This window comes from Homo sapiens, chromosome 18 (assembly GCF_000001405.40).
Source record: "Homo sapiens chromosome 18, GRCh38.p14 Primary Assembly".
Classification (NCBI taxonomy): Eukaryota; Metazoa; Chordata; class Mammalia; order Primates; family Hominidae; genus Homo; species Homo sapiens.
Window position 1 is genome coordinate 23,160,853 of NC_000018.10, and position 20,323 is coordinate 23,181,175.

The 20,323-nt window shown below is 46.9% G+C and overlaps 1 protein-coding gene across 4 annotated transcripts in view, besides 2 other annotated features; it reads left to right on the plus strand.

Moving 5' to 3' along the window:
• Positions 1-20,323, plus strand: part of CABLES1 (Cdk5 and Abl enzyme substrate 1) — a 125,907-nt gene that overhangs the window by 26,289 nt on the left and 79,295 nt on the right. The gene's annotated exons all lie outside the window — the stretch shown is intronic.
• Positions 8,409-9,342: an enhancer, noted in NCBI's record as "OCT4-NANOG-H3K27ac-H3K4me1 hESC enhancer chr18:20749225-20750158 (GRCh37/hg19 assembly coordinates)". NCBI's record gives its function as "activates a minimal SCP1, AML or CMV promoter by ChIP-STARR-seq in naive H9 embryonic stem cells {active_cell/tissue: H9 hESC(naive)}" and the evidence as "EXISTENCE:reporter gene assay evidence [ECO:0000049][PMID:30033119]".
• Positions 19,785-19,834: a silencer, noted in NCBI's record as "silent region_9355". NCBI's record gives its function as "represses an Ori minimal core promoter by ATAC-STARR-seq in GM12878 lymphoblastoid cells {active_cell/tissue: GM12878}" and the evidence as "EXISTENCE:reporter gene assay evidence [ECO:0000049][PMID:35858748]".

Consider the following 20,323-nt stretch of genomic DNA (forward strand, 5'->3'; position numbering starts at 1 on the left):
GTGAAAGCCCGTCTCTACTAAAATACAAAAATTAGCCAGGCGTGGTTTCACATGCCTGTAGTCCCAGCTACTCGAGAGGCTAGGGTACAAGAATCGCTTGAACCTAGGAGGCAAAGGTTGCAGTGAGCCAAGATCACACCATTGCACTCCAGCCTGGGTGACACTGACACAGTGAGACTCAAAAAAAAGAGAGAAGAAAATGTGAAAACAACTGGGTATGGTGGCTTACACCTGTAATCCCAGTGCTTTGGGAGGCCCAGGAGGAAGGATCACTTGAGCCAGGAGTTTGAGGATGCAGTGAGCTATGATCATCAGCACTGCACTCCAGCCTGGGTGACAGAGGGGAGACTCTGTCTCTCAAAATAAATGAATAAAGTGAGAGAGGAAGAGAAAGAAAGAAAATATTAAAAAACAACTCTCTTTATCATGTCTTGCCTTTCTATCTTCTTCTAAAACACTTTACTGGTGTTTTGTGGGTGCTGTGTTCCAGAAAGAGTGTATCTAAATTACAGTTGTGTTAAAAGTGAGTGACAATTAAAAAGTAGTGAATCAAGTCATCTGTAATCACATCACTGATGAATTTTGGTGCACTGACTCCCAGGGTGGGCTCCCTCTTTCTTGCATCCATCCCTCCCATAGTTCTTGAACACATACTGTGTGACCAACACTGGACCAAGGCACACGAGATGAACATCAGCTGTGTTCCCATGGAGTTTGAGGCCTAACATACGTATGTATCTGCATTTATGTATACTTCTTTTAAAAATGATAATCGGGGCCGGGTGCAGTGGCTCATGCCCGTAATCCCAGCACTTTGGGAGGCCGAGGAGGGTGGATCACAAGGTCAGGAGATCGAGACCATCCTGGCTAACATGGTGAAACCCCGTCTCTACTAAAAATCCAAAAAAAAAAAAAAAAAAAAAGCCAGGTGTGGTGGTGGGCACCTGTAGTCCCAGCTACTCAGGAGGCTGCGGCAAGAGAATGGGGTGAACCCGGGAGGCGGAGCTTGCAGTGAGCCAGGATTGTGCCACTGCACTCCAGCCTGGGTGGACAGAGCAAGACTCCGTCTCAAAAAAAAAAAAGCGGGTGGATCACCTGAGGTCAAGAGTTTGAGACCAGCCTGACCAACATGGCGAAGCCCTGTCTCTACTAAATGCAAAAAATTAGCTGGGCATGGTGTCGTGCACCTGCAATCCCAGCTACTTGGGAGGCTGAGGCAGGGGAATCGCTTGAACTCGGGAGGCAGATGTTGCAGTGAGCCGAGACTGCACCATTGCACTCCAGCCTGGGCGACAAGCACAAAACCCTGTCTCAAAAAAAAAACAACAAAGAGAATCATGCTTTACAGGTGTTTATGAATTGTTTCTTTTTCACATAAGGCATAAAGGCCTACAATTTTAAAGTACCAAGAAAACTTCAAGAAATTGTTCGTAAGAAAGTTTTTCTAGTATAGAATAAAATGCTGTGTTCTCTTTAACCAAGACATTCATTATTAGCTTAGACAGCCAGTTGCTTGATGTCCTGATATCCTTTTATAAACCTAGGCAGCTGAAGGGAGGCATAAATCTGACAGTACCTGACCGTGTTTTTCATTCAGTTCATTCTTTCGGGAGATGTTTATCAAGCATACACCATGTGCAAGGGGGTGAGTATAGAGGGTTGAACCAAATATCCTTGGTTTTCACCTTAAGGGAACTTACAGTCCTTGTAGGTGACAAACAAAAATATGGGTAAAGTTGGGTTAAGTGCCGTGGAAGAAAAGAACGTGTATTTCAAAAGAACAACAGAGGAGGAGAGAACAAGCAGGTGAAGTCAAGGAAGGCTTCTTGGAGGTGGTGTCTTAGGCTGCCAGAGGAGAAGCCACCAGCACCTGAGAAGTGGGTAGGAAGGAGTTCCAGGTAGAGGTAACTGCGACGTGTTCCAAGGCCATGTGGTGTAAGAGTCCCTTTGGGGAGGAAGCCAGTGTGGCCGAGGAGTATAAGCAGCGGGAAGAGGGAAGCAAAGCTGTTCATGTCCTGTGGACTTCATCCAAGGGTTTGTATTTCGTAGTTCAATGAGAAGATAGTGGGTTTGAGGGACAGAGCAACAAGTTAGAGTTAGCTCACTCTGGCTGCTCAGGAGACCAGGCAGGAGAGACGATGGCAGCTTGGGCTGGTGGGCAGGTATGTGAAGGATTAAGGTGTATTTCAGAAATAGACAACAGTCCTTGGTGATGGACTGAAGGTGGCTGTGTTGTGGGGTGCAGGGTGGTGCTAAAAGGACTCCTGGGTTTGTGACTTGGCTTCTTGGAGATCACTGGTACCATGGAGATGGGGCAGTTTGAAGGGGGCTGGCTTAATATGGAGGAGGAGGAGGAAGAAGAAGAGGTTGAGTTTGGCAGTGAAGTTTGAGCTGCCTGTGAGGATGCCACGTGGAGATTTAAGGAAGGCACTTGGCTATGTGGGATCCTGGAGCTTCAGAGCAAGGCGGATTGGAAAAACAGGTTTAGGCATCATCAGTATGTAGATGATGTTCAAAGCCAAAGGTGAGGAGGAAATCACCCAGGGAGCGGGGACAGAGAGATGAGAAAAGTCCAACCTGGAGGGTCTTCCGTATCGAGAGGTTGAGTAGAAGAGCACCTAGCAACAAAACCAGGACAGGGTAGCCTGGATGTGGGAGGAGAAGCAGGCACAGGGTGCTGTCAGGGAAGCCTGGGGGGCTGAGAGAAAGGATGGAAGAGGGGCTGGGGAGAGGATTGGAGGAGAGAGAAGAAAGGATGAGTAGCATTTTGGGAGCATGGACAGAGAGTGGATACAGAAATATAGCAGGCTGGCAGGCACTGAGGAGTGGCCATCTTTAACTGGTGAGCATGGATTTATAGTGACATGAAACTACTTGACTCTGTGGTCATTTAACACCAGGAAGAGGTTTATGGTTATTTAGTGGAGGGAGTTCCTTGAGGCTGGAACCTTCCTTCCCCGCATGGAGGAGCGTGGCTCTCCCAAATAGCTTTTGCTGTGTAAATGTTTTTGTTCATTAGTATTTTAAAAGTAAGAGTTTAAAAAATATTAACATATATAATCTGTATAATAGCCTATAAGGTAGGCCCTGTTATCCCCATTCTACTGATGGGCAAACTGAGGCACAGACAGGTTATCGAGCTTATCAAAAATCCCAGCACTGAGAACTTATGTGGGTTCCAGGATCAGGTTCCTAACTACTGTGCCATGCTGTGCTTAGGACTCTGTGGCCACAGTGGTGATCTTTCATCACACCCCTTTGTAAAGAAGTATAATTGTTTCAGAAACTTAATGCAGTTCAAAATATCACTTTCCCCTGAAGTATCTAAAGGCTCTTTTATTATGTAGCATCCAGAGACAGCATCAGTGATTAATTTCACTTTGCAAGTTAGGATTCACCTAGCTCTCCGTAGCCTACAGAGTGTTGTCATCCGGAGCCAGTGTGTTAATCTTGGTTGGTCCCTCCTCGGGTCGACGTGGGCCAGTGCCCATCATCACAAGGCCCGCAGCCTGACCCTGATGGTGTCCTCCCAGGGCCCCGCCATCAGCCCCCAGTGTAGGGCCACGTATAGGCACACCAGCCAGTGTGTTCCTTGGTATTTTTTTTTTAAGTGTCTGGGCCCATGTTATCAGTTACACAGGTGGAAATGCAATTCTTTTCCTATGTTAAGTGTAACCAAAGACCACACTCCCACTGAAAGACAGGCATGATGTGATGTCAGGAAAAGGGATTTCTGTGTGCCAGATATTGCTCCATGCATCTGCAAATCAAATTGAGCAGAGAGTACAGACCACCACACTAAAGCTTTTTTTTTTTTTGCAGGATAATTTTTTTTAATTTTTAAAATTTTTGATGAAACATATCAAAGCTTATCTTTGATATGTTGTGATAAAACATATAAAAATTTATCTCTTAACTATTCTTTTTTTGTTTGCTTGAGACAAAGTCTCGCTTTGTCTCCCAGGCTGAAGTGCAGTGGCATGATCTTGGCTCACTGCAACCTCTGCCTCCTGGGTTCCAGTGATTCTCCTGCCTCAGCCTCCTGAGTAGCTGGGATTACAGGCTCATACCACCATGCCCAGCTAACTTTTTGTAGTTTTAGTAGAGACAGGGTTTTACCATGCTGGCCAGGCTGGTCTCGAACTCCTGAACTCAGGTGATCTGCCCACCTCAGCCTCCCAAAGTGCTGAGATTACAGGCATGAGCCACCATGTCCGGCCTTAACTATTCTTTTAACCATTTTTTTCTCTTCTTTTTTAGAGACAGGGTCTTACTGTGCCTCCTGGGCTAGAGTGCAGTGGTGCGTGATCATAGCTCATTGCAGCTTCAAACTCCTGGACTCCAGCAATCCTCCCAAGTAGCTAGGACTGCAAGTGCATGCCACCACACCCAGCTAATTTTTTAATTTTAATTTTTTATTTTTTTATAGAGACAGGGGTCTCACTATGTTGCTTAGGCTGGTCTCAAGCTCCTGGCCTCAAGCAGTTCTCCCATCTTGGCCTCTGAAAGCACTGAGATTACAAGGTGTAAGCCACTGTGACTGGCCCTTTTAACCATTTTAAGTGTACAGTTCATAGTGTTGAATACATTCACATTGTTCTGCATCCACTCTCCGGAACCCTTTTCATCTTGCAAAACTGAAACTCTGTGCGGGTTAAATAGCCCCCTGTTCCTCCTGCCCCCCCAGTCCCTGGCAACCACCATTCTGCTTTCTATTGCTATGAATTTGACTACTGGAGGTACCTCATCTAAGTGGAATCACAGAGTTTGTCCTTTTGTAACTGGCTTATTTCACTTAGCATAATGTCCTTCATATGGTAGCACACATCTGAATGTCCTTTCTAAGGCTGAATATTATCCCATTATCTGTATATGCAAAACTTTGCTTATTCGTTCATTCTTCGATGGACACTTGGTTGCTTCCACTTTTCAGCTCTTGTGAATGATGCCGCTATGAGCATAGATGCACAGTGTGCTAAAACTCGTCCTCTCCTCCCCCATCTATCAGAAAGCGATCTCTCATGTAGGGGTGAGTTACAAAGGGAAAGGGATGGCTGACTTGAATGCAGTGATTCCTTCATCAAACATGATGCCTGGACACTCCCATTTCAAGGGAAATGAGTGATCTTCTGTGCGCAGAAAAGCAGCAGTTCTAGCAGGGTGTGGGTGTGCAGGCAAGGACCAAGAAGTTACTAAATCGCAAGTAGTCATCTTATTAATCTTTTATTGTTTCATGGCCTTCTACCTATTATGTTCAATGATGTTGTCAACTGTTTCTTTAATACTAACCAGAATACCATAACAGTATACATATATATGTATTTATATCTCTATGTATAATATGAATGCAATTTTTTTTTTTTTTTGAGACAGAGTTTCACTCTCGTTGCCCAGGCTGGAGTGCAATGGGGCAATCTTGGCTTACTGCAACCTCCGCCTCTTGGGTTCAAGTGATTCTCCTGCCTCAGCCCTCCCAAGTAGCTGGGACTACAGGCACCCACCACCATGCCTGGCTATTTTTGTATTTTTAGTGTGAGACTGGGTTTCACTATGTTGGCCAGGCTGGTCTTGAGCTCCTGACCTTAGGTGATCTGCCCACCTTGGCCTCCCAAAGTGTTGGGATTACAGGCGTGAGCCACCGCTCCTGGCCAACATTTTTTTAAACTATGTATTTTTTTCTTTCTCTGGTAACAAAAAGGAATACTTGCATGAAACATTTAGGAAAAATAACAGAGAAATTCAAATTACGCATAAACCTATCACCCAGAGATGACCAGTTAATGTTTTAGTGTAGGACACGCACACACAGGTGGGTTAGGTTCTGTCAGTTATAATTTTTTGTGCCGTATATATACATATTTAGTGTTCTTAAAATTAGAGATCAAACAGCATGTACTATGTTATCAGTGTCGTTTCTTCACTAACTCATACATTGTGAGCATCCTCCCTTGTCGTCAGACCCCATTCAGCAGGTGGCCATGAGTGCAGAGTGCTCCATTCATAAGAGCAGACGGAATTCCCAGGGTGGCTCCTCATCAGAAGTTGGGGTGTCTTGCAGTTTCTGTGATGCGCGTGATTTCTCTGCTGAAGGTTGTAACAGAGGAGGAAGGGTGGCATTTCCCCCGTTTTATAGCAAAACAAGCAAGGAGTGGAAGCCAGCTCTGAACAACTTAACCAGGATGAGGGGAAGCTGGAAATAGCAACCGGATCACTCACTCACTGCCTTGTGCTTCATTCACTTGATAAAACTAATCTCAAGATCATCATCAGCGGAAATTATTTCCCCTAATCTCCTGGGAGTGTGCTTTAATATTTTTATGTTTGCTTAATGGTTATTTCAATTCTGCATCTTTTTTTATTAAATTTAAAAAAAAAATGAAAACTTTCCAGGCTGCTTTGGGAGACTTCCTGGATTTTTCCTCATGTGGCTGGAGGAACTCGGCCCCTCACGCTCTTCACCTCCCCCAGTGGAGAATGATCAGGCTCCCTAGGGTCCAGCTACAGGCCAGTTTTTTCAAAAGCTGTTTGGAAATTCAAGGTCTGTTTCACCACATGCCTCTTTTTGCAGTTTCATTAGCTCATTCAAAATATACTGTAAAAGGCTAACAAGATGTCATCCATATGGAAATCATATTAGTTAGATTCTGTTGCTTCTAATTTCTGTGGTGTTGATTAGGTGCTAATTATTTTGGGGGATTGGGGGGAGTACCTTGTGCTTTGGTTTGTTCAGACATTCAGCAGCATTTACTGTGCACCTAATATGAGTTACAGCCCTGGACCTAGGGAGCTCTAAATCAAGAGGGAGAGCCAGACAAGAAAATCCACCTGACAGTACCAGGCTGCAACAGAGTGAAGCCCGGGAGGCCATGGGAGCAAGGAGGGGTCTGTGAGCAGGGAGGGGTGGGTGGGAAGCGGTGGTTCCAAGCCAGGCTTGCTGCAGGTCGTTGGGGGCCTCGGCAGGTAGCTCTGCCTCATTGGAGGGAAGGGGCAGATGTTTGGGGGAGGGGCCCTAGATTGGCATGGAAGGAGACAGGGCATGCAGGCGCTCGCGCCCTTCGGTTCATGCACACGCTTAAATGCAGCAGTCAGGTTGCTGTAACTCCATGGAGCTGAGCTGACGGCTCTCAAGGTGATGCCAGCAGCTGTGTGGGCAGGACTGGTGGGAACTCCCGGGACTGACCCTACTCCTTTCATGCTGGAGGCCCCTCAGGGCGATCTGAGGGCAACTCCAACCCCAGGGCAGCTGATGGGGTGGACACTAGTTTGCCCTTTCAGAGTAGGGAAAAAGCAGGTGTGGAATTTGCACACCCATGTTCATGGCAACCTTAGTCACAATAGCCAAAAGGTGGGAGCAGTCTAAAGTATTCACTGAGGAATGAATGGATACACGAAAATGACGTATACACCCTTAACGGAGTATGATTTAGCCTTAAAAAGGAAAGAAATTCTGACACATGCAGCAACGCAGATGAACCTTGGAAACCTGCTGAGTGAAACAAGCCAGTAACAGGACAAACAGTGTGTGCCTCCACTTCTGTGAGTGGAATCTGCTCGAATAGTCAAATTCATAGAGACAGAAAGTAGAATAATGGCTGCTGGGGGTGAGGGCAGGGGAAAATGGGGAGTATTCTTCACTAGGTGCAGAGTTTCAGCCTGGGATGATGAAGTCGTCTGGAGGTGGATAATGGTGATGGCTGTCCAACAATGTAAATGCAGTCAATGCCACTAAGTTGTATACTCTTAAAATGGTAGATTTATGCTATGTATCTTTTACCATTTTAATAAAAAACAAAAACAGGGCATGGAGCAAAGCTGCGTCCCAGGCTAGGGTGGACGTGGAGCCTGGCAGAAGGGTCCTGCGGCCATTCCACTTCCTTCCCTCCGGAGCTACTCAGGCCTGTTAAGCTCCTCGCTCCATGTCCCTGCTGATGAGGCCCTGGGTGCTGGAGAAGAGCAATCAGACCTGTGTGAGTGCCCATTTGTACTAATAGGGAACCTTGCAGAATTCTTCTAAGTGTCAGAGGCATTTGAGCCAGAGCAGCTCCTTCTTAAATAGGAGCTGGGTAAAATGAGGCTGAGACCTACTGGGCTGCATTCCCAGATGGTTAAGGCATTCTAAATCACAGGACGAGGTAGGAGGTCAGCACAAGACACAGGTCAGAAAGACCTTGCTGATAAAACAGGTTACAGTAAAAAAGTCGGCTAAATCCCACCAAAACCAAAATGGCCACTAGAGTGACCTCTGGTCATCCTCACTGCTACACTCCCACCAGCGCCATGACAGTTTACAGATGCCGTGGCAACGTCAGGAAGTTACCCTATATGGTCTAAAAGGGGAGGCATGAATAATCCACCCCTTGTTTAGCATATCATCAAGAAATAACCATAAAAATGGGCAACCAGCAGCCCTCAGGGCTGCTCTGTGTAGGGAGTAGTCATTCTTTTGTTTCTTTACTTTCTTAATAAACTTGTTTTCACTTTCTGGAATCACCCCGAATTCTTTCTTGCACGAGATCCAAGAACCCTCTGTTGGGGTCTGGATCAGGACTCTTTTCCAGTAATGTAAGTATGCATGATATGTTATGTCCACTAGGTCCCAGCCACCTGAAGACCCGCTATTATGGTTAAACATATGACATGAAACACCAGACATTTCACAGAGAAGTGCCTGGTCTGTCAGCAAAGCAGTTATTTCTTATGTTAATGGTGCCAAGAGGGAAGCCCCTTCCCCCAGCTCAACCAAGGCATTAAACCCAAGTCATTCCTCCCCAGTGGGTAAAACTTTATTTCTTTGGCAAGATAACTTTCATTTGAAAATAAACTTTGAAGCTGTTTGAAGCTAAAAGAGCTTGCTTTCTAACACAGCAGCAGAAACGGTGAAAGAGCCTCACTTCCTTTGAAACAAGCTTCTGGAGACCTCATCAGAATTTGAAAGGCTGTGGGATAGGTGCCCTGTTGCTTGGGATGAGGGGTCTGAAGTGGTGTGTGTGAGCTGCTGAGGCTCTCCTGAGGTTCCTTTGAAAACCTCGTGTTTCCCGTAATTGGAGTCCGCCACTGTGTGGGGTCATGGGCAGCCGGAGGGCAGGTGGCTCATGCTTGCCTGGACTTGGTGGGAGCTGTAGCCGCGTGGGAGGGGGTAGGATTGCCCAGCAATGCCCTATCCCTCTCAGCTCCCCCTGCTCTGGAAGGGCAGAGATGCCAGACTGCTGTCCTTCTAAGAGCGGGACCTCAGAATGTCTAGCAGAGACGTTGTTATCCATATCTTCCATCCCCCGGCCATGTGGATGTACATATTGTGTTGGAACCTCAGTTTCTCCATCTGCAAAAGGAGTCAGCATAGTACTCATGTACAAGGGTGTTGTGAGAATGCCAAGATGTTTGTAAAGCCCTTAGCAGAGTGCATGGCGCAAATTGTTCCCAAAAGGAAATATAAACATGTAACAAGGGCCTGCCTGTTTTTGACGTGGCCTGTTGTCCTTCCTAAGAGCCTTCGTGCTGTGCGAAGGAATGTCTGACCACACACAGAACAGAGTCCCCTTCCATCCACACCTGCCCTCTGGCTTCTGGAGGGTTTGGTAGCAGGGTTGCTTCTGAGCTTGACGTGTTTCTGGGTTCCAAGACCACACACCCTAGCCATCTCCAGCAGCGTGTGCATGGGCGTTGGGTCCATTTATGCCCCTTATGCTTTTTATTGGTCTCATAGCAGAAGCCAGACTGCTGGGGTTTTATGAACCCAGGAAAATGGGCTCTTGATGACTATGAGGCATTACATCTCAGAGCCAATTTCATAGTCGCAGTTCAGCCTCAGAATGAGCTTTTCACCTCCTGATTCTTGACAGCTTCAGCTTCAAAGGGCGTTGTGAAAGTCTGCTTTGGAAAGAATAGGTTAAGACTGACTTCCCACAGTGTTGGCTGCAAAGAAGGTTGAGGGTTGTTTTTTTGTTGTTTTTGTTTTTGTTTTTGAGACAGAGGCTTGCTCTATCTCCCAGGCTGGAGTGCAGTAGTGCAATCTTGGCTCACTGCAACCTCCGCCTCCCAGGCTCCAGCGATTCTGGTGCCTCAGCCTCCCGAGTAGCTGGGACTACAGGCGTCCGCCACCACACTTGGCTAATTTTTTGTATTGTTAGTAGAGATAGCATTTCACTGTGTTGGCCAGGCTGGTCTCGAACTCCTGACCTCATGATCCGCCTGCCTCGGCCTTCCAAAGTGTTGGGATTGTAGGCGTGAGCCACTGCGCCCGGCCTGTTCTTTCCTTTAGAGATTAAGTTATTGGGGAGGGAGTGCTAATGGGTTTCATTAACGTGATCTGTAGATCCAGGCCACATCTCCTTCATGGCCCTATCCTGGGTGGGAGTCCTCCATTCTTGTTCCCGTAACACCAGTCAGTGCGCCTTTGTTTTATAATGAACTCTTAGTGTGTCTCCTCACCGGATTGTTCTTAAAGGCAAGGCTTTTGCTCTAGTCATCCTGGATTCCACGGTGCCTTGTAGTGGGTGCTTAGCAAATGAAGGGTGGATGACTGAATGCATCAATGAGTGAGTTTATAATGTGACGAGCTCTGTCCCAGAGTGATGGAGGATAAGGAGGGGCCATGTGCCTTGAGCCTTGCCATGGTCTGCACCATTCTCATCAGCCCTGCTTATCCTTAGCCATGCCTCATGTCTTGGTAAAGCTTTACAAAGTCTGTTTTGTAACACTTTTTTTCTTTTTGATAAAGTGGTGGTATTTCTCCTTGAGATCTTTAGGAATCTGCCTGTTTTTCAGAGCAGGACCTCTTCTCTTCTTTCATGTTGCTTTGACTGTTGTCTCTCTTTTTCCAAGACCCCTGCCACCCTCTGATAACCCTCGCATCTAACGGAGCCACAGAGTCCACAGCTGCTCATAGGTCACTCACCCACGACTTGCGTCCTTAGAGGAACTCTGCTTCCCCGTGACCCCATCAGCCTCACATCCCTGCCAAACCAGGCAGCTCAGAGCTTGCCTGCATTCCGAGCTCTGGCCTGTGAGTGTTGACCAAAGGGTTAACCTTTCTGAGCTACCATGAGCCACCTAGAACAGGGACCAAGCCTTATGTTTCTTTTTTCGGTTTTATTTGAGACAGAGTCTCACCCAGGCTGAGGTGTAATGGCATGATCACAGCTCACCACAGCCTCGACCTCACGGGCTCAAGTGATTCTCCCACATCAGCCTCCTGAGTTGCTGGGACTACAGGCATGTGCCACCACACCTGGCTAACTTTTTGTGTATTTTTTGTAGAGGTGGGATTTTGCCATGTTGCCCAGGCTGGAACATTTTCTTTTACTTCTTTGTATCTGTGACACCTAGGACTGAATACTCATATGTAGGTAATGATAGTGACAGTGATGACAATGACATCTTAACACGGTAGAGACAGAGTTGGATCTGAACCCTGCCCTCCCTGTTCCTGTCGTTACCTCTGCTAACCCATCCTCCATCCTTTGCATTCTCACAGTGGATTCTAATCTTTTCTTGGGATCATACACTCTGTTTTAGATAAGAGGGGAAATGGACACTTACACACACCTTGCATCTGATTTTAGAAGGTCCACAGATCCCCAAGAGGTCGAGAGATCCCAGTTGAAGGATCTTGCTCTAAAGAAGGACACCATTAAACACCCTTAGGAAAATCAGTGGTAGTCAATTGCATTTATTTTACCCAGTCACTTTCTGAAAACTTTGGTTGAAAACCATGTCTCCCCTACCCTCCCTAGTTGTTAAGAATATATTATTTTCCACAGTAACCAAAGCTTTGGTATAAAGGGTCCATTCAGACCTCTGACATAGACTTTTTTGAAGAGTCCAATAGCAGTGGAATCCACATTGCATCCAAGTGAATATTCACGTGGCTTTAAGCACAGCTCTCATGCTGCAAATTCACTTTGGAAAGCCTTCCTGAACAGCCTGGTAATTAGAACTGTGGTGGCTAATTAAGAATACGGTGAGGCAGATGCACTAATAATATATTTCCAAGCGAGCTGTTAAAAAATTAAACTTCCTCTGCTAAGGCCGATGGAAGCACCTCGGATTGGGGTATTGTCTTCCCGTTTGGATAACTGAAGTGCTTGTGAGTTCTCCTGAAAACTGGATCAGGCTTTTTAAAAGGGAGCAATTTGCAAGGATGTCTTACGCCAAAGGTTAGGGAGATGGGAGGTTATGGAAATGGAAGTCTCAGAGCTCCAAACGGCACCTTGATGTGTGCAGTAAGGAGGTTTCCTTTTTGGAGAGATGGAGAGAGAGGGTGGATGAAATGTGGCTGTCAGCAGGTGCTGAGTGACACGCGGCTCTGATGGGTGGCTGGGGATGGAGCACCAGGTAGCCTGTGCTGGAGCATCTGTCGATGTGCTGAGCGGGCCCTGCTCTGGGAGGGTTTGCCCAGGTCTCTGCCTTCAAGCCTAACCTGCTGCCTGCTGCGCACAGACACCTGCGGGACCTCTGTAACCCACATTTGAAAGGAAAGGGAATGGCTCTGAAATGACAGTGTCTGGTCCCCAGTTCTTGCCCTCCCAACCATCCAGCTCTTCCCTGGACATGTCTGAACCTCTCCAAAGCTTCAGTAAAAGGAAATTGAACCAGATCCATAGTTTTCAAATTGTATTATCTGGAGCTCTAAGGATCTTAGCAAGGGCTTAGCAGGTCTAAAAACAGTTCTAATCTGTTGTATATTTTGGGATTTGGTGCTTCATTATTACTGTATATTTTTTCCCAACATATGTTTTTCTACATATGTAAACTTTATATATCATATAAATATTTTAACAGCTTTACTAAGATATAATTTGCATACCAACCATTTAAAGTTACTATTTTGGCTGGGCGCAGTGGCTCATGCCTGTAATTCCAGCATTCTGGGAGGTCGAGGTGGGTGGATCGCTTGCGCTCAAGAGTTCAAGACTGTCCTGGGCAACATGTCAAAACCTGTCTTTACAGAAAATACAAAAATTAGCCGGGTGTGATATGGCATGTGCCTGTAGTCCCAGCTATTGGGAGGCCAAGGTGGGAGGATCGCCTGAACCCAGGAGTCAGAGGTTGCAGTGAGCTGAGATCGCACCACTGCACTCCAGCCTGGGTAATAGAGTGAGATTCTGTCTCGAAAAATAAAAATAAAAAATAAAGTTATTGTTCAGTGGTTTTTAGTACATTCACAAGCTTGTGCAGTTGTCACCACTATCTAATTTTAGAACATTTTCCTCACCCTCAAAAAGAAATCCCATGGTTATTAGCAGTCTCTTCCCATTCCTCCCCCTCTCGGATCCCAGCTTCTGGCAACCACGAATCTATTTTCTCTCTCTATAGACTTGCCTACTCTGGACATTTCATATAAGTAGAATCATACACGACGTGGTCTCTGGTAACTGGCTCCTTTGGCTTAACATAATGTTTTCAAGGTTCATGTTGTAGCATGTATCAGTACTTCGTTCCTTCTCATGGCAGAATAATACTGCATTTCATTCATTCATCACATTTGGGTTTTCACATTTTTGACTATTGTGAACAGTGCTGCTGTGAACATTGTATATGTCTTTGTGTGGATGTATCTTGGCATCTTTCTTTGATTATATTTAGGAGTGGGATTGTTGGTCATATGGGGTGACTCTGTGTTTAAAACTTTTTTTTTTGAGACAGAGTCTCGCTGTGTCGCCCAGGCTGGAGTGCAGTGGCACGATCTCAGTTCACTGCAAGCTCCACCTCCCGGGTTCACGCCATTCTCCTGCCTCAGCCTCCCGAGTAGCTGGGACTACAGGCACCCACCACCACACCCGGCTAATTTTTTTGCATTTTTAGTAGAGACAGGATTTCACCATGTTAGCCAGGATGGTGTCGATCTCCTGACCTCGTAATCCGCCCACCTTGGCCTCCCAAAGTGCTGGGATTACAGGTGTGAGCCCACCGCGCCCGGCCTGTGTTTAACATTTTGGAATATAATTTGTATGTATATACATGTTACACCATATATATATATATATATATATATATATATATATATATATGTTTTTTAAACTGCAGTAAAATAAACTCGATAGCTTTCTATAGCAAAGCCTGACATACTGGTGACTTATGCATTAATTAACTAATTATGCATTAGTTAACTCACGCTGCCGCCTAAGTTGATTTTTTGCAGTTACGCTTCACCTGCCACATCCGTTAAATTGAATTGGGCCTTGACATGTTTAAAAATGGTTACCACAGGCACCCACTTATCTCTTTCAATGGTGATTATATCCTTACTGTACAACCAAGACCAAAAGAAACAAATTAGATTCTGAGATTGACCTTAGACTAGAAATGTCACTAAGAGCTTCTGGTTTTAGATTTGTTTGTACCTCAAAACAGCTACACTGCTCTAACAGTGATTGAGATATAAGTCAATATTATACTCTCAAGTTTATAAAATGTATAATTGTTCTAATCTGATTTATATTTTGGGATTTGGTGTAAGGTTTAATTTGGGAGAAAAAAGCACTCTGCTGCTCAGAAGTTTGAACATCAGTGTTCTAGATTATTTCTAAGGTCCTGGCTTTCATTTTTGACCTCATTCCTGGGCTTCTGCTGGCTTGCCGAAGGTCTTGGAGTAAAAATGGTAAAATGACTACCTGGAGCTTTTTCTTTTCTTTCTTTCTTTTTTTGCATTGCGTCTTACTTTGTCACCCAGGCTGGAGTGCAGTGGTGCAAATACAGCTCACTGCAGCCTCTACCTCCTGGGATCAAGTGATCCTCCTGCATGCGCCACCACACCAAGCTAATTTTCATAGTTTTTGTAGAAATGGGGGTTTTGCCATGTTGCCCAGGCTGGTCTCAAACTCCTGAGCTCAAGCCATCTGCCCACCTTGGCTTCCCAAAGTCTCAGAATATAGGCATGAGCCACTGCTACTGGTCCCCTGGAGCTTTTAAGGTACACCCTTGTTCCTCCTGAGCCAACCCTGTGGAGTTGTTCCTGCTATACTTAAGGATTTATTGAGCACCTCCTATGTACCAGGTAATGTGCTAATCATTGAAGGGGTTTCAAAGAAAGAAAGACATAGTTATTTGTCCTCAAGATACCTGCTGTCAGGTTGGAGATGAATAAATGTAAAAAAAAAGAATAAAGTCAACCAATCTACAAGTATTTAGATATGAATATTTCCAAATGTAATAAAGATACCAAATGTTGTAGGAATTCAGAAAATGTCAGGGACAGCTTCATAGAGCAGGTGGAGGAAGGTAGGATTTGGGTGGATGACGAGAGGGTGAGGCAGATTCTGAATTTTCTTTTGAACTGAGATTTGGCCACATTTGGGCATTCCTTATGCCAGTGGTCCCCAACCTTTTTTGGCATCAGGGACCTGTTTCCTGGAAGACAATTTTTCCATGCACTGGGGGTGGGGGGATGGCTTCGGGATGAAACTGTTCCACCTGAGATCATTGGGCATTAAATTCTTAAAAGGAGTGTGCAACCTAGATCCCTCGAGTGCACAGTTCACAATAGGCTTGGCGCTCCTGTGAGAATCTGATGCCCCGCTGATCTCACAGTAGGCAGAGCCCAGGCAGTAATGCTTGCTTGCCCGCCACTTGCCTGCTACTGTGTGGCCCCCATTCCTAATAGGCCGTAAGACCCCAGTACTGTCCATGGCCTGGGGCTTGGGGACCCCTGCCTTATGCCATAAACCCTTTATTTGGAGGCCGTCAATTTAGCTGTACCCAATCCCCATTCAGCTTCCAGTGAAGAGAATAAACATGGGTAGCCAAGGAGAAGCAGGCATTTTTTTCAGCAGGCTTCCAGAAAGGAATCTGAGGTAATTCGGATAGACAAGGAAGAGGCATCAGTCTTTGTTTCCATAAACCACTATTGAGTGTGGGCCACAGTTAACCTGAAAAACTCCTAGAAAATAAGGATTCACAAAGCCCCATCAATCCGATTTTGCTATAGATAATTGCATGCAGTTTCTGAGCTGTCAAAATCCACTCCTGCTGAAGGCCCTTCAGAACAGAGGAAGGTCATGCTGGACACCAAGGGGGAGACTCCAGGGAGCGTTTTACTGGCGTCCTCCCTAGGAGGGCAGCCCTCTGAAGGGTCCGGTAAACACCAGCTTGGATGTGAGGACCCCCGCCTGAGCCCCTGCTGGTTCTAATGAAGTTAGCTCCGTTCTCTCCTGACTGTGGAGGAAGGGACAGGAGTGTGTCCCTCCAGCAAGGTTCGGTTCTCCCTCGCCTTCTTCAAATCCCACAGAGCTAGGCACAGAGGGTCCTTGTCTTGTGTTCGAAGGAAAAATAAATGCGTATCTGGCTTAGAAAGTCTTCAGCAGGTAAAGGCATTCTTCCAAAGCACCAGTGAGCCCTCACAGTGACTGGGGAGGAAGCGAGACGGCTCCAGCACAGGCCATTGTCAGGCTCGGGGCCCCGTCAGACCAAGTCTCAGGAACGAGTTCTGCTCAGCCTCTGTCTAAGGAGGTAACTCTGGCCCCCTGCACCACACACTTGCTCACCCATGTAAGCCCTGAAGTGTTCGTAGCCCTGTACCTCCTGTGTTCGGGTGTGAGACTGAAAGGTGCTATGTGTGAGCACATGTGTACACACACACACACACACACACACACACACACACACGTTCATTGTGCTGTGATACCAGCCCCAGCCCCGCCGGTCTATGTGTGGTCAGCTTGTCCACTTGGCTGTTGGGGTCTCTGTCCGGGTCCTCCTGGAGCCAAGCCTGGCCCTCTGATTGCGAGCCTGTCTGTCTCCTGGTTCCCGCTGGGCTCTTTTCCTGGGGCCGGACTTTGCTGGGAGGAATTCTTCCTATGCCTCACCGAGTCCCAGTTCTGTCCTGTCCTGTTGGGCTCTGGGAAGGTGCATGTAGGAAGCCCCTCAGGCCCCCTGCCATGGCCTGCCTGCTCCCTCTGTTAGAGGTACTCTCTTCTCCTCTCCCAATTAAAACCTTGGCTCTCCCTGGCTCCCCCATGTACTCCACACCTGGTTTGGCCTCCAGGTGTGGACACACTCCACAGTATCCTTAAACCATGGGACCAGGTGCTGCATTCCCAGCCACCCTCCTTGCCCGGCTCAGGGAAGCCCTTTGCAGAGAACGCCTGGATTTGATTCCTTGGAGCCTGACGCCCATTCAGAACATAGGTAAGTTGGCCGCAAACTCCTTGGACTTAGATGCATAGGGCGCATTTCTGTCTAGGGTGAAGCTGGCCCTTTTATTTCTAGTGGTTTTCCCTTTCCAATATTCCCTTCCCACCCATATCCTGTCCTGGCTGGGCCCCCACTTTTCTTCCCCACCCCCTCCATGAGTATCCAATGTGTTCTGTAGCAAGATCAAAGCGGTTTATCTCATCAGCCACACAAAACCTTTTCGGATCCTGATTTTTTTTTTTCAACCAGTACCCAGTACCTGCTTCTCCTGGTTCTACCCTTCTGCGTATTCCATTGTGTGCCCCTACAGCAGCAGGGCAGGGCCCCTCCCTCTGGGACGAGGCCAAGTATGAATTAGAATGCAGCACTGCCACTGAGCCAGCGACCCTGGGCTGGCCGCCTGATGTCCTGATACCCTAAGGCTGTCCAGGGACCCTGGGCTGGCCGCCTGATGTCCTGATACCCTAAGGCTGTCCAGGGACCCTGGGCATGTACCTTCATGGCGGCCAGGTGTGCTGTGTCTGCTGCTGTGTTCTGACCTTCCCTCTAGACCCTTTGTCAAAAGAGTTTGAACTTGTTCCCAGGGGGTATCACTGGATCTTCAAGTAGGGACTGACATGAGGGAAAGAGTGTTTTTCAAGATTAGCAGGACAGCAGTGGGCAGGGTAGACTGGGAGATCTTTGGGGATGAATTTCTGGCCAGCTATTAAATCCTAGCAGCAGTTCCTGTCAGCTCTAAATAGCCCCATATACCAAGATAACCTCACACCTTGATTTTTCAGGATTTGGCAAGTCTGATGAGAGCCCTTGAAACAAAAGTAAACTCAGGCAAGCCAAGAGCCTTTTGTATTCTCTGTAAACATTTAGAGAGTCGCTTTCTTGACCCGCCTATGAAAATGTAGAAACAGACCTTATTTGAACAAGCTGATTGGCAACTCTAGTGTATTGATTTTAATTTGGTTTTTGCCTGATTCATCAGCTGGAGACTTTAAAACATAGCCAGATTCAAAACCAGTTTCTTGGCCGGGCGTGGTGGCTCACACCAGTAATCCCAACACTTTGGGAGGCCGAGGCGGGCCAATTGCCTGAAGCCAGGAGTTCGAGACCAGCCTGGCCAACACGGTGAAACCCTGTCTCTACTAAAAATACAAAAATTAGTCGGGTATTGTGGCGGGTCCCTGTAATCCCAGCTACTCAGGGGGCTGAGGCAGGAGAATCGCTTGAACCCAGGAAGCAGAGGTTGCAGTGAGCCGAGATCGCGCCACTGCACTCCACCCTGGGAGACAGAGACTCCGTCTAAAAAAATAAAGAAAAAACGGTTTCTTCCCATTGTGTCTAATTTAAAAAAATCTAACCATCCCTCCTTTTCTTAAAGATAATCCTGTCTTCCTTCCTTTACAAGAAAAATCCCAGTGACTCCCCCACCCCAGGGATTTTGAATTCCTTTGGTCTGTATTCTGGATATGGATCTGGCTTTCAGCGTGTTAGTTGAGGCTCGGGGAGGAGGTTTTCCTTCCAAGCCAGCTGTGTGCCCAGTGCTCAGAGGTATGGATGGCATCAGGCTGACTGGTCAAGACCAAATGCTCCTCCAGTCACCCCAGCCTGGTGACCTGGCCCGGCCAGTATGCCACTGTAGTGTCAGACTCTGTGGCTCTCCTCTTGGAGTTCCTCCAGGGTCTAACAAGCAGCTGCTGCCAGGTGAGCAGTAAGGGCCATGCTTACTTTCATCGGCACTTTTGCTGCTGGACAAAGCTTTAGATCCGTGGACAACAAAACAAAGCATGTGTCTAATGGATGTGTCCTCAGGCTGAAGGGAAGGCCGTTTTGCTTTAAGGGTCTGTGTATCTTCTGTTAAGAGGTAGCAGCTGACTTTTTTTTCTTCATCTGTGAACACGTGTACTAGGGTGAAACAGTTTTGTTTTGTTTTTGTTTTTATTTTTGTTTTTTGTTTTTTGAGACGGAGTCTCGCTCTGTTGCCCAGGCTGGAGTGCAGTGGCGCAATCTTGGCTCACTGCAAGCTCCGCCTCCCGGGTTCAGGCCATTCTCCTGCCTCAGCCTTCTGAGTAGCTGGGACTACAGGCGCCCGCCACCACGCCCGGCTAATTTTTTTTTTAATTTTTAGTAGAGACTGGGTTTCGCCGTGTTAGCCAGGATGGTCTCGATCTCCTGACCTCGTGATCCACCCGCCTCAGCCTCCCAAAGTGCTAGGATTACAGGCATGAGCCACCGCGCCTGGCCAACAGTTTGTTTTTTTTAAGTGAGCGCAGTCTGATTGGACTTCTGCTGGAGGAGCATCTGGAATCTTGGCATTGAAGTTTGCCAACTCACGAACAATGTTATCATCACTTATCTGATGAATGTGAGGAGCAGGCTGATGGTGCTGTGGCAGTCAACAGCTTAAGATGCTGCTAGGGAAATGAAGGAAATAACAATAGGGTGATGGAGGGGCATTTTCCTTTAAGAGAGCCTAGTATTTGAAAACCAGCATTTCACAAATGACATACACATGATAGTACAATTCTTGGGCTTATGTGTTTACTTATTTATTTGTAGAGACAGGGTCTCACTCTGTCACCCAGGCTAGAGTGCAGTAATGCGATCATAACTCATTGCAACCTCGACTTCCTGTGTTCAAGCGTGCCTCAGCCTCCTGAGTAGCTGAGACTGCCGGTGCATGCCACTAAGCGCAGCTGATTTTAATTCTTGGGTTTATATATAGTTTTTCATTTTAGGGCTCCTTTAAGTAGTAGGCTTCCATAGTCAAACAGTTACAAACTACAGATTTGTACCCTACTTTTTAGGACACCTTTTCTGCATGAGCTGAACACCATTTCAAGAGCAAAAGATTATGTCTGTGGTGGGGGGATGGAGGGATGCAAGAAGCAGGGGATGGAGGCTTCCGCCCAGAAAGTCAGAGATTCTGTAACAAAAAAGGGATTTTCTAGTTGCCTCAAGGGCCAACCCTGCTTTCTAGGCTAATATGCCCCAAGCCTTTTCTTGCTGGGTCCTGATTGGGCTCCTTGAGGCTTGGTGACTAAGTCGGTAAAGGAGGCTAGAACATGTAGGTTCCCAGAGTCTATAAGGTTGAAGTGGGACTTCTTGCTGTCCAGCCCTGACTCCTTACCCATAACCTCCTTGTCCTGGGGCATTGGGAAGCTGAGGAGGATTTCTGGACTCTGTTGACCAGACTGGG